Source organism: Homo sapiens, chromosome X, assembly GCF_000001405.40.
Source record: "Homo sapiens chromosome X, GRCh38.p14 Primary Assembly".
NCBI lineage: Eukaryota > Metazoa > Chordata > Mammalia > Primates > Hominidae > Homo > Homo sapiens.
In genome coordinates this window covers 83,546,651-83,563,511 of record NC_000023.11, presented here as the reverse complement: position 1 = coordinate 83,563,511, position 16,861 = coordinate 83,546,651, and the positions used below count along the sequence as shown (strand labels likewise).

Here is a 16,861-nt window from a genome sequence, read left to right as displayed (position 1 = left end):
ATAGTAAAATACCTAGAAATACAGCTAACAAAGGATGTGAAAGACCTCTTTAAGGAGAACTACAAACCACTGCTCAAGGAAGTAAGAGAGGATACAAACAAATGGAAAAACATTCCATGCTCATGGATAGGAAGAATCAATATGGTAAAAATGGCCATACCTCCCAAAGTAATTTACAGATTCAATGCCATTCCCATCAAACTATCACTGACATTCTTCACAAAATTAGAGAAAACTACTTTAAATTTTATATGGAATCAAAAAAGAGCCCACATACCCAAGACAATCCTAAGCAAAAATAACAAAGCTGAAGGCATCGTGCTTCCTGACTTCAAACTATACTACAAGGCTACAGTAACCAAAACAGCATGGTACTGGTACCAAAACAGACAGATAGATGAATGAAACAGAATAAAGACCTAAGAAAGAACAGCACACATCTACAACCATCTGATCTTCGACAAACCTGACAAAAACCAGCAATGGGGAAAAGATTTCCTACTTAATAAATGGTACTGGGAAAACTGACTAGCCATACGCAGAACACTGAAACTGACCCCTTCCTTAGAACTTATACAAAAAATAACTCAAGATGGATTAAAGAGTTAAATGTAAAACCCAAATCCATAAAAACCCTAGAAGAAAACCTAGGCAATACCATTCAAGACATAGGCCTGGGCAAAGATTTCCTGACAAAAATGCCAAAAACAATTGCAACAAAAGACAAAATTGACAAATGAAATCTAATTAAACTAAAGAGCTTCTACACAACAAAAGAAATTATCATCAGAGTGAACAGAAAACCTATAGATTGGGAGAAAATTTTTGCAATCTTCCCATCTGACAAGGACTAATATCCAGAATCTACAAGAAACTTAAACAAATTTACAAGAAAAAAAAACAGCCCAATCAAAAAGTGAGGAAAGGATATAAACAGACACTTCTCAAAAGAAGACATTTATGTGGCCAAAACAAACCTAAGAAAGAAAGCTCAACATCACTGATCATTAGAGAAATGCAAATCAAAACCACAACGTGATACCATCTCATGCCAGTCAGAATGTTGATTATTAAAATGTCAAGAAACAATAGATGCTGGTGAGGTTGTGGATAAATAGGAATGCTTTTACACTGTTTGTGGGTATGTAAATTAGTTCAACCATCGTGGAAGACAGTGTAGTGATTCCTCAAGGATCTAGAACCAGAAATACTTTTTGATCCAGCAATCCCATTACTGGGTATATACCTAAAGGAGTATAAATCATTCTACTATTAAGACACATGCACATGTATGTTTATTGCAGCCCTATTTACAATAGCAGAGACATGGAACCAAGCCTATCAATGATAAGACTGAATAAATAAAATGTGGTACATATACACTATGGAATACTATTCAGCCATAAAAGTAATGAGATCATGTTCTTTGCAGGGACATGGATGAAGCTGGAAGCCATTACCCTCAGAAAAGTAACACAGGAACAGAAAACCAAACACTGCATATTCTCACTCATAAGTGGGAGGTAAACAATGAGAACACATGGACACAGGGAGCAGAACAACACACACTGGAGCCAGTCAGGGTGTGGAGGGTAATGGGAGGGACAGCATTAGGACAAATAGCTAATGCATGTGGGGCTTGAAACCTACAGGACAAGTTGACAGGTGAAGTAAACCACCCTGGCACATGTATACCTATGTAACAAACCTACACATTCTGCACTTGTATCCCAGAACTAAAAGTAAAATTTAAAAAAATAAAATAAACAAATAAATAAAAGAATACTGATTGTGGAATCTGGCTTGAATATAGACTCCATTACTGATTAGCTACATGTCTCATTTTTTAAAAAAGCTGTTGAAATAGACTACATCACCTGTTTTAGCTCTTTGAAATCAAGTGTAACTTTAATATTTATTCTGAAGTCTTGCCTGAGTTTTGATAATAAGAACATCCTAAGACAGGGTCCTCCTCTTTGTGAGTCAGTATTTTATCCCAGGCACCTAGCACATGCCTGGCTTGGAGTGGGTGCTCAGCAAAACTCTGTGGAACAAACAAAAGAATGAATAAATAAATAAATAAATGAAAGTTTGTCTGCAGCTTAAAAAACAAAGAAAAGAAAGAAAAAAGAAAAGAAAAGAAAACTTAGCCATTAGAGAGGCGTGTTAAAGACGTATTTACTCCAAACTCTCGAACCTGATGGAAAGCTTAAATGAAATTGAAAAGGGCACACTTTTATGTTTAAGAGATTCAATGGTTAATTCTGCATCTGTGTATGCAACCTAAGAGCATCTCATGTCCAGTGCCAACAATCCCCAAAAGATAGGTACAATAGTATAAAATTGATGCTTATATTAGTTCCTGTTTAGGTACAGAATATATTTCTGAGAAATACCTCGTCTCTGGTGATATCAGAAAAATTTTGAGTCAGTGGAATAAGTCCTGCTTTTCTGGTCTAATCCATGTCTTCCTGCACTCTCAATTAAGTAAGAATATTGTCTTGAGTCTCGCCACAGTAGAAATGGTAATGCAACACACACGCACACACACACACACACACACACACACACACACACACACACAGAAGTAAAAGGCAGTTTCAGGAGGAATTACAAACTGAGAAATCCAGAAAAGTTATAAAGGGAGAAAAAATATTGTACATCAATACTAATAAACATATTTTAACATAAGTTTATGTAAAAATCATATTTCAAAAAAACTTTACAGAAATAAAAATAATTGTAAGAAAATGTTATGAACAGTTGCACACCAGCAAATCAGATAATGTAGATGAAATAAACAAATTCCTAGGAACATAGTCATTACCAAAATTGACTCAAAAAGAAATAAAAAATCTGAACAAAGTTATAACACAGAATGAGATTGAATCAGTAATAAAAAAATGTCCTAATGAAGAAAAGTCCAGAACCAGATTACTTCATTGGTGAGTTTCATTAAACATTTAATGAAAAATTAACATCAATTTTTCTGAGACTTTTCAAAAAATTTAAGAGAAGAAAACACTTTCTAAATTATTTTGTAAGGTCTGCATTACTCTGATACTAGTCAGAAAAGACATTGCAAGAGAAGAAATTCACAGAGCTATATTCTGTCGGAACATACATACAAAAATCCCTGAAAAATACTAGGAAAACAAATCCAACAGCATATTAAAAGGATTGTAGAGAGTGGCTGAAGATGGATGCCAGACGACCTGGATCTCAGCTAAAGGGCAGTATTCCAGCTACTGAACTTTCAGCAAGTGAATCTCTTGAAAGTCATAATCTTCAGAAAGTGTTTTTTGTGTGTGTAAAAAATGAACTTTTAGCTAGTCATCCTCTTGAATTTTCAGAAGAGAATTTCCAACTCAACCGAGATAAAATGAATATTCCCACAGTGAGAAACATTTAGTGGTTATTTGCTCCACTAAAATTATAAATCGAAATTTAAGGCAGTGCAGCAGGTTCGATGTCTTCCATTTCTTTTGAGCTCAAACCTTTCACTGGATATTTTGAGGGGTAATGAAGAGACTACCAGATTTGAAGCTATTCTTATCTGTCACAAAGTGAAGTAATGGGAGAATGACACTTGGTGGAATATAAACTCAGTTTACTGTAACACAATATGCTGTTCATGAAAATAGAGGGGCTGCATCTTGTTTATAGTCACCTTTTTACTATAATTTGATGCACACAACTTTGAAAGTACTGACACATGGGAATTTTTGCACAAGTAACCTCAGTGATCATTTGAAATTTTGCGGCCGGGCGCGGTGGCTCACGCCTGTAGTCCCAGCACTTTGGGAGGCCGAGGAGGGAGGATCACAAGGTCAGGAGATCGAGACCATCCTGGCTAACACGGTGAAACCCTGTCTCTGCTAAAAATACAAAAAATTAGCCGGGCTTGGTGGCGGGCGCCTGTAGTCCCAGCTACTCGGGAGGCTGAGGCAGGAGAATGGAGTGAACCCGGGAGGCGGAGATTGCAGTGAGCCGAGATCATGCCACTGCACTCCAGCCTGGGCGACAGAGCAAGACTCCGTCTCAAAAAAAAAAAGAAAGAAATTTAATTTTGGGGGTGTTTGGTTTATGGCCAAGTGACAATTGAAGTCACTAAAGACATTATTTTAATGCTTCTAATTTATATTTAAAGATGGCCTTCTATGTCTTTAAAAATTGTTGCTCATAAATATTATAAAATAGTACACAGGTTGAAGTTCAACCTGTTGTCTATGTATTCTATAAATTTGAATAACCATTGTAAGCATTTGAGTCTATAAACTTTATAGTAGCACCTTTCAAAATAAACATTTGTAATTGATTTCAGTGGCAACTATTCAAGTTGAGTACAATATGAGATATTTATACATATTTCAGTATAGTCCATTAATACTATTAAGAATTATATTTACTGTATTGATGCTATTTTAGAATTGTAGCTATTCTCTTTCAATTTGAAGAGTACAAGTTCAGAGGTTTTGGTTTTCGTCTTGTGTTTAAAGTGAAAAATTAAATAAAGCAACCAGCAAATGTAGGTTAAAAAAAAGGGGGTTGTATACCATAACCAAGCGAGATTTGTCCCAATAATACAAAAATGGTTCAACATAAAAAATTCAGTCAACAGAATGCAACACGTAAAGAGCATTTAAAAAATCCACGTGAGCCTCTCAATTGATGCAGAAAAGGCATTTTACAAAATCCAACACAACTTCATGATAAGGAAACTCAGAAAACTAGGGGTAGAAGGAAATGTCCACAACATGATAAAGGGTACATAGGAAAAACTCACAGGAAATATCACATTTAATGCTGAAAAACTGAAAGCTTTTACCCTAAGATCAGGTACAAGACTAGAATGTTCAAATTATCACTGCTATCCAACATCACACTAAAAGTCATAACCAGGGAAATATACAAGAGAAAGAAATTTTAAAAATCCAAATTATAAGAGAAGGAAAACTATATTCACAGATGACATGATCCTATGAATAGGAAATACCAAAGAATCCACAAAAAAAATTCTACTGGACCTAATAAATTAATTAAGCAAAGTTGCAGATAGGCAATGAGCAATCAATAAATAACTAAAAAGACAATTTCATTGAAATAACATACAAATAATAAAATATCTAGGAATAAATTTAACCAAAAAGGTGAAAATCTTGTCAATGGAAACCTATAAAATATTTCTGAAAGAATACCTAAATAAATAGAAAGACATCAATGTTCATGGATTGAGAAATTTAACATTGCTAAAATACCAATACTACTTAAAGCAATCTACAGATTAAATATAATCCTATTAAAATTTCAACAGCCTTTCTTTTCAGAAATCAAAAAGCTGATTCTCAAATGTATATGAAATTTCAAAAAGCCCTGAATAGCCAAAACAATCATGACAAAGGATAACAAAGTTGGAGGACTCACACTTCCTAATTTCAAAACCGAGTACACAGCTATAGGAATAAAAACAATATGGATAGTCATATAGACGAATGGAATATAGTTGAGAGTCCAGAAACCAATCTGTATATTTATGGCCAATTAATTTTTTATTTTTTATTTTATAGGTACATAATAGTTGTACATATTTATGGGGTATATGTGATACTTTGATACAATCAAAGAATGCATAATGATAAAATCTGGGTAATTTGGATATCCATCACCTCAAACATTTATAATTTGATTGTGTTGGAAACAATCTAAGTCTTCTCTTTTAGCTATTGTGAAATGTACAATAATTTTTTGTTAACTATAGTCACCCTGCAGTGCTCTAGAAGACTAGAACATATTCCTTCTACCTAACTGTATTTTTGTACCCACTAACCAACCCATCTTTATCCCCTACTCTCCACTACATTTCCCAGCCTCTGGTAAGCACTATTTTTTTCACCATCTCCATGGGATCAATTTTTTTTTTTTTTTTAGTTCTCACACGAGTGAAAAAAAAGTGATATTTGTCTTTTTGTGCCTATTGTAACAAATTGATTTTTGACAAGGGTGTCAAGTTTATTCAATTGAGGAAGAATAGTTTCTTCAATTAATTGTAGTGGAATAACTAAATTTCCACATGGAAAAGAGTGAAGTTGTACCCGTATGTTAAGCTGTACACAAAAATAATCTCACAATGGATAAATTACCCAAATATAAGAGCAAAAACCTAAAATCTCTTACAAGAAAGCACAGGGATAAACTGTCATGGCCTTGAATATGGTAATGGGTTCTTAGATATGGCACTAAAAACATGAGCAACAAAAGAAAAAAAATGTATATATAATAGACTTCGTCAAAATTAAAAATTTTCATGTATCAAAGGACATTATTAAGAAATTAAAAAGATGGCCAGGCGCGGTGGCTCACGCCTATAATCCAAGCACTTTTGGAGGCCGAGACGGGCGGATCACGAGGTCAGGAGATTGAAACCATCCTGGCTAACACGGTGAAACCCTGTCTCTACTAAAAATACAAAAAAATTAGCTGGCGTGGTGGCATGTCCCTGTAGTCGCAACTACTTGGGAGGCTGAGGCAGGAGAATCGCTTGAACCCGGTAGGCGGAGTTTGCAGTGAGCTGAGATTGTGCCATTGCACTCCAGCCTGGGTGACAGAGTGAGACTCCATCTCAAAAAAAAAAAAAAAAAAGAAAAAGAGAAAAAGTAAAAAGACAACTTACATAGCGGAAGAAAATATTTGAATATTTGCAAATTACATACCTAAGAGATTATAGACAATAGATAAAGAATTCCTACAATTCAACAACAGCAAAAACCAAACAACCCAATTAAAAAATGGGCAAAAGACTTGAATAGATATTTCTCCAAAGATATACAAGTGGGCAATAGCATAAAAGAGATGTTCAACATCATTAGTCATTAGAGAAATGCAAATCAAAACCACTTTACACCAATTAGGATGGTTGTAATAAAAAAAGGAAAACAACAAGTGTTGTTGGGGGTGCACTAAAGTTGGAACCCTTGTACATTGTTGATGGAAATGTAAAATGTTGCAGCTGCTATGGAAACAGTTTGATAGTTCCTCCAAAATTTAAACATAGAATTGTCATATGAACCAGCAATTCCACTCCTAAGTATATATCCAAAGGAAGTGAAAACAGGGACTCAAACAAGTAATTGTATGCCAATGTTCATTGTAGCCTCATTCCTAATAGTGAAAAGGCAGGAGCAGTCCAAGTCTCCATCAACAGATGAATACATAAACAAATATGGTATGTACATTCAATTGAGTAATATTCAGCTATAAAAAGTAATAAAGTTTTGAATCATGTTATGACATGAATGAACCTTGAAAGTTTTACACTAAGTGAAATAAGCCAGACACTAAAAAACAAATATTGTGTAATTTCATTTACATAAAATATCTAGAATATGCAAATTCATAGGCTAGAAAGATTAGAGGTTACTAGAAAATAGGGGCAGACATGAATGAAAAGTCATTGCTTAATGGTACAGTATTTCTGTTTGGAGTGATGAAAGTTTCAGAAATAGATAACGGTGATTATTGCACAAGATTGTGAATGTGATTAATGCCACTGAATTGTATACTTAAATATGATTAAAATGGCCAATTTTATGTTACATATGTTTGACTGCAAGAACCTTTTAAAAATTGCATTGTACCCAGATGCTATTGTTTAGTATTTTCTTTTCCCAGCTAATCATTTTTTCTTTCAACTTTTATTTTAGATAAAGGGGGAACATGTGTAGATTTGTTACATAGGAATACTGCGTGATTTTGAGATTTGGAGTAGAGATCCTGTCACACAGATACTAAGCATAGTACCTAATAGGTAGTTTTTTAACCCAGCTCGTCCCCACAGCCGCCTAGTAGTTTACAGTGTCTGTTGTTACCATATTTATGTCCATGTGTGCTCCATGCTTAGCTCCCACTTACAAGTGAGAATACGTGGTATTTGGTTGTTTAGTTTTAAAACAGAAAAAGAATCCTATCTGCAGGGTTAATTTCATAATTGAAACATGTTAACTAAATTTTCTATGTATTAAAATTCTGCTAAATGAAAACTTCATTTCACTTTAAATATCAAATCAGATAAATTTATGTTGTCAATATATTTAGAGTTAGGATGGATATAAAATCACTCATAAGATACAGAAAATATTTTAATGAAATTCCTCTTTTTAAGAGAAATGAAAATTTTTATCAAAATATATTTATACTTAAATAGCTTTAATGTCCTATGATCTGTTACAAACTTAAAGTTAATTAAATTGAGTCTATAGCAAAAGGAGCAGAAAATTAGTGACTTCAAATCACTGATTAAATTGAAATTTTTGCTACTTCAAATTTTGGAGCAAAACAAGCTAAAGCAATAAGTACAGAAAATGAAACACAAACCTCCAAGATGTCTGGGACTCAGTATATTAAAAGTATATTCAAACTTTGTCTGCTCATATTTACATTTATAGACTTCTATGATATGAACTAATTTTTCTGAAAAATGCCCCCCAAAACCTGTGAGTTTTCAACCACAAAAATGATTGGATTATTTTCATTAGACTCTGCCACTAAGGCTGAAAAAGAGATTCATACATTCTGGAAAGATTTTCAACAACTATTAAGATAAATGGGTCTTTTGTTAATCTTGTTACCTGCAAATTCAATTAATCTCAAAGACATCTTGCACCACTTTCTCAGTTCTTACATTAAATTAGTCAGCTAGTCCCTTCAGATTTCTTATATCTGTTTCTTGTTTCATTCCTACTGCCATTGCCTTTAGCTCAGATCTTCATTTCCTCTTTCCTAGACTATCACAATAGTTCTGGTTCCTCTCCTTACAACCCATCTTTCCCACCGAAATCAAAATTATCTTCACAAATCATCAGTCTGAACTTGTTGCTCTGTTGCTCAAAAATCAGCAGCAGCTACCCAAATGCTTTGTGTAGTATTCAAAGCTCTCACGAATCTGGACCCTCTTTATATCTCTGGTGGCATTTCTTTGTTATTGACTGAATGTTTGTGTGCCCCATGCCAGCAAATTCATTAATTGAAGCCTGATTCCCTAATGTGATGATATTTGGAAAGGAGGTGTTTGGGAGGCAATTAGAGTTAGATAAGGTTATGAGAATGGTGCCTTCATGATGGGATTAGTGCTCTTATATGAAAAGATACCAGAGAATTTGTGTTTCTCTCTCTCTCCTCTCTCCTCTCTCTCTCTCTGTCTTGTGAAGTCACAGCAAGAAGGCAACTGTCTATGTGCCAAGAGGAAAATACTTACGAGGAACTAAATACTGGATCAGCTGGTACCTTGATATTAAACTTTTCAGTCTCCACAACTGTGAGAAAAATAAATATTTAAACCATCCAGTCTATGGTATTTTGTTATGGCAGCCAATCTAATACAGTCCGCAAATTACTCCCTTACTCCATATACTTCTAATCACATGTGTTGATGTCCCAGCCTCTAAGATATGCTGTTCCTTTATTTATGCTCCTCTCTCAGCCTCAAATGCCCTCCTCTATTTTGATCTTTTGTGATTGGACTTTTTAAAAGTAATTTCAACTTTTATTTCAGAATTAGGTGTACATGTGCAGATTTGTTAAATGGGAATTTTGCATGTTGCTGAGATTTAAAATACGAATGATATCGTCACCCAGGTAGTGGGCACAGTACCCAATAGGTAATTTTTCAGCCCTCCCTGCTTTCTTCCCACTCTAGTAGTCTTCAGAGTCTATTGTTCCCATCTTTACGTTCCTGGTTACTCAGTGTTTAGCTCCAACTTGAAAGTGGGAACATGTGGTATTTGGTTTTTGTTTCTGCATTAATTTGCTTGGTATAATGGCCTTTATCTGCACCATGTGGCTGCAAAATACATGATTTTGTTACTTTTTATGGCTGTGTAGTATTCCGGGGTGTATATGTACCACATTTTCTTTATCCAGTCCATCCATGGTTGATTCCATGCCTTTGCTATTGTGAATAGTGCTGCAATTAACATATAAGTGCACATGTCTTTTTGTTTGAAGGATTTGTTTTCCTTTGGGTGTATACCCAATAATGCAATTGCTGAGTCAGATGGTAATTCTGTTCTTAGTTCTTTGAGAAATCTCCAAACTGCTTTCCACAATGACTAAACTAATTTACATTACCATCAACAATGTGTAAGTGTTCTCTTTTTCCCAGAGCCTCTTCAGCATCTGTTATTTATTGTCTTCTTAATAATAGCCATTGTGACTGGTGTGAGATGGTATCACATTGTGGTTTTGATTTGCATTTTTTGATGATTAGTGATGTTGAGAATTTTTTCATGTCTGTTGGCCACCATGTATATGTCTTCTTTTGAGAAGTACCTGTTCATGCTGGGCGCGGTGCCTCACGTCTGTAATCCCAGCACCTTGGGAGACTGAGGTGGGTGGATCACCTGAGGTCCGGAATTCGAGACCAGCCTGACCAACATGGAGAAACCCCGTCTCTAATAAAAATACAAAATTAGCCAGGCGTGGTGGCACATGCCTGTAATCCCAGCTACTTGGTAGGCTGAGGCAGGAGAATCACTTGAACCTGGTAGACTGAGGTTGCAGTGAGCCAAGATCGTGCCATTGCACTCCAGCCTAGGCAACAGAGTGAAACTCTGTCTCAAAAAAAAAAAAAAAAAAAAAAAAGAGAAGTGCCTGTTCATGCCCTTTGCCAATTTTAAAAAAAATTTTTTTGGCTGCTGAGTTAAGTTCTTGATGGTTTGTGAATATTATATTTTCTCCCATTATTAGGTTATCTTCTTACTATGTTGATAGTTTATAGTTTATTTCATTCTGTGGAAGATCTTTAGTTTAATCAAGTCCCATTTTTCAGTTTTTGATTTTGTCACCATTACTTTTGGGAACTTAGTCATAAATTATTTGTCAAGGCTGATGTCTAGAATTATATTTCCTAGGTTTTCTTTTAGGATTTTTATAGTTTGAGGTCTTACATTGAAGTTTTTAATTAATCCTGAGTTATTCTTGTATATTATTTGTGTATTTATATTTTGTAAATTATTTGTATATTTACAAATAATTTACAAATAATATTTAGTAGTATTAGTGTAATTACACTACAGTAGTACATAGTAGTATTATATAGTGTATTAGTAGTAGTGTATATTATAATAAAACTATAATAGTGTATAGTAGTAGTATAAGTAAATAGTATAATATTTGTATATTTTGTATAATTTTGTATATTTTTGTGAAAGATGGGGTTCTAATTTAATTCTTCTGCATATGTCTAGCCAGTTATCACAGGACCATTTATTGAATAGGGAGTCCTTTCTCCATTGTTTATTTTTTTCAACGTTGTGGAAGATTCGATGGTTGTAGATGTTCAGTTTTATTTCTGGGTTCTCTATTCTGTTCCATTGATCTATGTGTCTGTTTTTGTACCAGTACCATGCTGTACTCATTGCAGTAGCCTTATAGTGTAGTTTGAAGTCAGATAAGGTGATGCCACTAGCTTTGTTCTCTTTGCATAGAATTACTTTGGCTATTTGGGCTCTTTTTTGCTTTCATGTGAATTTTGCAATTTTTTTTTCTAATTCTGTGAACAATGGCATTGGAGGTTTGGTATGAATAGTATTAAATCTTTAGAGTGCTCTGGGCAGTATGGCCATTTTAATGATATCAGTCTTCCAATCTGTGATTATGGAATGTTTTTCTGTTTGTTTATGTCATCTCTGATTTCCTTCAGAAGAATTTTGTAATTAATTGTACTTCCAGATATCTTTCACCTCCTTGATTAAATGTATTCCTAGGTATATTTTTTTTGTGTCAAATGTCCTCCTCTGACTCAATTTATTGCAATGCTATATATCTATCAGTTCATTTTGTGCTGTTAAGATAAAATACCACAGACTGGGTAATTTATAAAAAGTAGAAATTTATTGGCTTAGAGTTCTGGATGCTGGGGAAACCAAGGTCAAGGTGCCAGCATCTTCTGAGGACTTTCTTGCTGCATTATCCCATAGGAGGTGTGTGTGTGTGTGTGTGTGTGTGTGAGAGAGAGAGAAAGAAAGTAAGAGAACATGATATCAACATTAATACATTTGTGAGGGCAGAGCCCTCATGATCTAATCACTTCTTAACAGTCCCACCTCTTAATACCATCAGAATAACAAACTTCAATATGAGTTTTGTAAGGGACATTCAAGCCATAGCAACATCCTTTAATCCTACCTCAAATATTGCGACCTCCTCTATGAAGCTTTTTCAGTCTTCAAAATAATAAATAATTATTTTATTCTTGAAATTTCTTTAATCGTTCGTTTTTCTAGAATAACACTCAATATATTCTGCTTTATAATATATCCAAGATGTGTTAAAGAAGTCTAACAGCCACATTAAACTCTCAATACCTTGAAGGCAGAATGTTTTGTTCCTATGTTTCCTCATGACTTTCAGCACAGAGCATACTTACAAAAGGTAGATATAAATGTAGAATTGACTAGACCCTTTCTTCCCTGAATTTGGAGTTTAATATAATTTGACCGTGTACTTTGTTTACCTTTGTCTCCTTTGTCCAACATAGAAGTTATGATCCTCAATGAGAGCCCCAAAGACCTCAAACTCTGATCCTCTTCTGAGGAAAGACTCCTATTCATGGCTATATACACACACACAGATTGATGTCATGAGTATCCATCCTGTGTAGATGCATAAGACAGCCATACACAGATGGACCCTAGGGTTGGTTTAAAGCACTGCTGTCAGTATTTTGGAATTCTTAATAACTTTACCTGTGAATTATATTCAAAGTTTTGTAAGTGAAGACCAATAGCACAATGGTGCATATGTGTGAGCAGAGGAAATGTGCACTGCTGTCAGTATTTTGGAATTCTTAATAACTTTATCTGTGAATTATATTCAAAGTTTTCTAAGTGAAGACCAATAGCACAATGGTGCATGTGTGTGAGAGGAGGAAATGTGCACAATATGAGTGTCTATCATTTCTTGCTACCCAATTTGCATACAGAACTTGTGAGGATGATGGACACATGATATGTAGTAGGTCAGTAAGACTCAAAACAAATACAAGGTATGTGCATTAACATTATTATAACTGAGTAAGCCTAGTCTCTGACAGGCCTTACGGGCAATATTTTCTTTTGCACCAGAACTTGCTTCAAATGCAGAAAGAAGGCAATGGTGTTCTAATAAACAAGAATAACCAAAAAAAAAACTATCATATTCTTTCTTATTCATGTTACTTTCTTTTATTAGCCAACCACTTTTCCTAGAAATGATGACATAGAATGAAAGGGAAAGACACAGCAAGCCATATATATATATGTGTATATATGTGTGTATATATGTATATACGTATATATGTTATATATTATATATAATATATGTACATATATATGTATATATGTATATACGTATATACGTTATATATTATATATAATATATGTACATATATGTACATACATATACATATATGTACATATATTATATATGTGTATACATATATAATATATGTACATATATTATATATGTGTATACATATATAATATATGTACATATATTATATATGTGTGCACATATACATATATGTACATATATTATATATGTATACACGTATATACATATACATGTATGCACATATATATGTATACACATATATACATATACATGTATGCACATATATATGTATACACGTATATACATATACATGTATACACATATATATGTATACACATATACACATATACATGTATACACATATATACATATATAATTATATACATATATATAATATAAAATATAAAAATATTCTATATTCTATATTATATAATATACATTATATATTATATAATATACAGATTATATATATCATATAGTATATGATATATATATTAGTTTTCAGTCCTTTCTTCCTCAATAGGGAGCCAAAAGTAGAGAATGTTGCTAGAATGTATGCTGTGTCAGGCGGTGTAATAACAACAGTTGAGTTGGTTTTGTGCAGCATTTCCACCGCTTTTGTAAAAACAAAACATATGTGCATGTACAAGCTATAAAATAAGAATTGTGTAATATAGGTGATTTCACATATGAGTTATATCTGAATTTAAATGCTTATATTTAAATGCTGATATTTGCATTTAAATCTGTCATTGCACAATACAAAGATTAATTGTAAACTTCACACTAATATTTAAAATTTTAATTTGTATTTATATATAGCCACAATAAAAAGCAAATAATAAACACTATTACACATCTAGAGAGAGAGATGGCAAAAGAAGGAAAAAAATTTTATGTTTTAATTATTTTAATGGTACTTTTTCCCTGCATTTTGAACAAGGAGAATCCCATTTTCATTTTGCACTGGGCTCTGCAAATTATATAGCCAGAGAAAATGCCCTTTGTTTTTTGGCTACATGGCTGCAGCTGCTATTTGGTTAATCTGCCCCTTATATTTGTAGGCTACTCAAGTTTTCTTTTCTCAAAAAGCAATCCAATAAACCAATTTTGTATTTCTGCTAGAATATTTTCCAACTTCCTCCAGAGGTGAAGTGATGTTTGAAGCTAGGTCAGGTGCTTTTTTCCTTTTAACCCAGGTTTGCCCCATTTGAGTTAGCTTATGGAAATCCTTTTTACAGACCAATTAATTAGGTTAATAGAATAAGCTTTTTACTCAGCTGGATCTGAATGTGAATTCTGACTCCACTCTCTATTTACAATGTCATCTTGAGCAAGTTACCTATTCTCCTTAAATCTGTTTGCCAAGCTCTACCCTCAGAGACTCTGAGGCAGTCTGACTTTATAATCAATTGACTAAGTGCTTATATGTAGATAGTATGCATACTGCTACTTGGGATTTCCTGGATAGGATAATTTTTAATTTGCCTTTTTATCCTTTGAGTTCATGATTCTATGAAGTACACAAGCTCCTCAGGTCCTTGCTGTGTATATGCCTTAGAATGAGGTATTTTCTGTTTCCTATAAAAAGAGCCAAATTCCTCATTAAGATGGGATCCTCAACAGCATGGTATGCAGGACAAAGCAAGTCTTTCTTAATCTGATCCAAATATCAGACAAAATGTGATATTATTATAAGGTTATAGATTTTCTTTTTTTTTTTTAATTTTTTTTTTTATTATACTCTAAGTTTTAGGGTACATGTGCACATTGTGCAGGTTAGTTACATATGTATACATGTGCCATGCTGGTGCACTGCACCCACTAACGTGTCATCTAGCATTAGGTATATCTCCCAATGCTATCCCTCCCCCCTCCCCCGACCCCACCACAGTCCCCAGAGTGTGATATTCCCCTTCCTGTGTCCATGTGATCTCATTGTTCAATTCCCACCTATGAGTGAGAATATGCGGTGTTTGGTTTTTTGTTCTTGCGATAGTTTACTGAGAATGATGGTTTCCAATTTCATCCATGTCCCTACAAAGGACATGAACTCATCATTTTTTATGGCTGCATAGTATTCCATGGTGTATATGTGCCACATTTTCTTAATCCAGTCTATCATTGTTGGACATTTGGGTTGGTTCCAAGTCTTTGCTATTGTGAATAGTGCCGCAATAAACATACGTGTGCATGTGTCTTTATAGCAGCATGATTTATAGTCCTTTGGGTATATACCCAGTAATGGGATGGCTGGGTCAAATGGTATTTCTAGTTCTAGATCCCTGAGGAATCGCCACACTGACTTCCACAATGGTTGAACTAGTTTACAGTCCCACCAACAGTGTAAAAGTGTTCCTATTTCTCCACATCCTCTCCAGCACCTGTTGTTTCCTGACTTTTTAATGATTGCCATTCTAACTGGTGTGAGATGATATCTCATAGTGGTTTTGATTTGCATTTCTCTGATGGCCAGTGATGATGAGCATTTCTTCATGTGTTTTTTAGCTGCATAAATGTCTTCTTTTGAGAAGTGTCTGTTCATGTCCTTCGCCCACTTTTTGATGGGGTTGTTTTTTTCTTGTAAATTTGTTTGAGTTCATTATAGATTCTGGATATTAGCCCTTTGTCAGATGAGTAGGTTGCGAAAATTTTCTCCCATGTTGTAGGTTGCCTGTTCACTCTGATGGTAGTTTCTTTTGCTGTGCAGAAGCTCTTGAGTTTAATTAGATCCCATTTGTCAATTTTGGCTTTTGTTGCCATTGCTTTTGGTGTTTTGGACATGAAGTCCTTGCCCACGCCTATGTCCTGAATGGTAATGCCTAGGTTTTCTTCTAGGGTTTTTATGGTTTTAGGTCTAACGTTTAAATCTTTAATCCATCTTGAATTGATTTTTGTATAAGGTGTAAGGAAGGGATCCAGTTTCAGCTTTCTACATATGGTTAGCCAGTTTTCCCAGCACCATTTATTAAATAGGGAATCCTTTCCCCATTGCTTGTTTTTCTCAGGTTTGTCAAAGATCAGATAGTTGTAGATATGCGGCATTATTTCTGAGGACTCTGTTCTGTTCCATTGATCTATATCTCTGTTTTGGTACCAGTCCCATGCTGTTTTGGTTACTGTAGCCTTGTAGTATAGTTTGAAGTCAGGTAGTGTGATGCCTCCGGCTTTGTTCTTTTGGCTTAGGATTGACTTGGCGATGCGGGCTCTTTTTTGGTTCCATATGAACTTTAAAGTAGTTTTTTCCAATTCTGTGAAGAAAGTCATTGGTAGCTTGATGGGGATGGCATTGAATCTGTAAATTACCTTGGGCAGTATGGCCATTTTCACGATATTGATTCTTCCTACCCATGAGCATGGAATGTTCTTCCATTTGTTTGTGTCCTCTTTTATTTCCTTGAGCAGTGGTTTGTAGTTCTCCTTGAAGAGTTCCTTCACATCCCTTGTAAGTTGGATTCCTAGGTATTTTATTCTCTTTGAAGCAATTGTGAATGGG

At 34.4% G+C, this 16,861-nt stretch overlaps 1 pseudogene; it reads left to right on the top strand.

Moving 5' to 3' along the window:
- Window positions 1-3,199: 3,199 nt before the first annotated feature.
- On the top strand, window positions 3,200-3,619 carry POMPP1 (POMP pseudogene 1; annotated as a pseudogene).
- The last annotated feature ends 13,242 nt before the right edge of the window (window positions 3,620-16,861 follow it).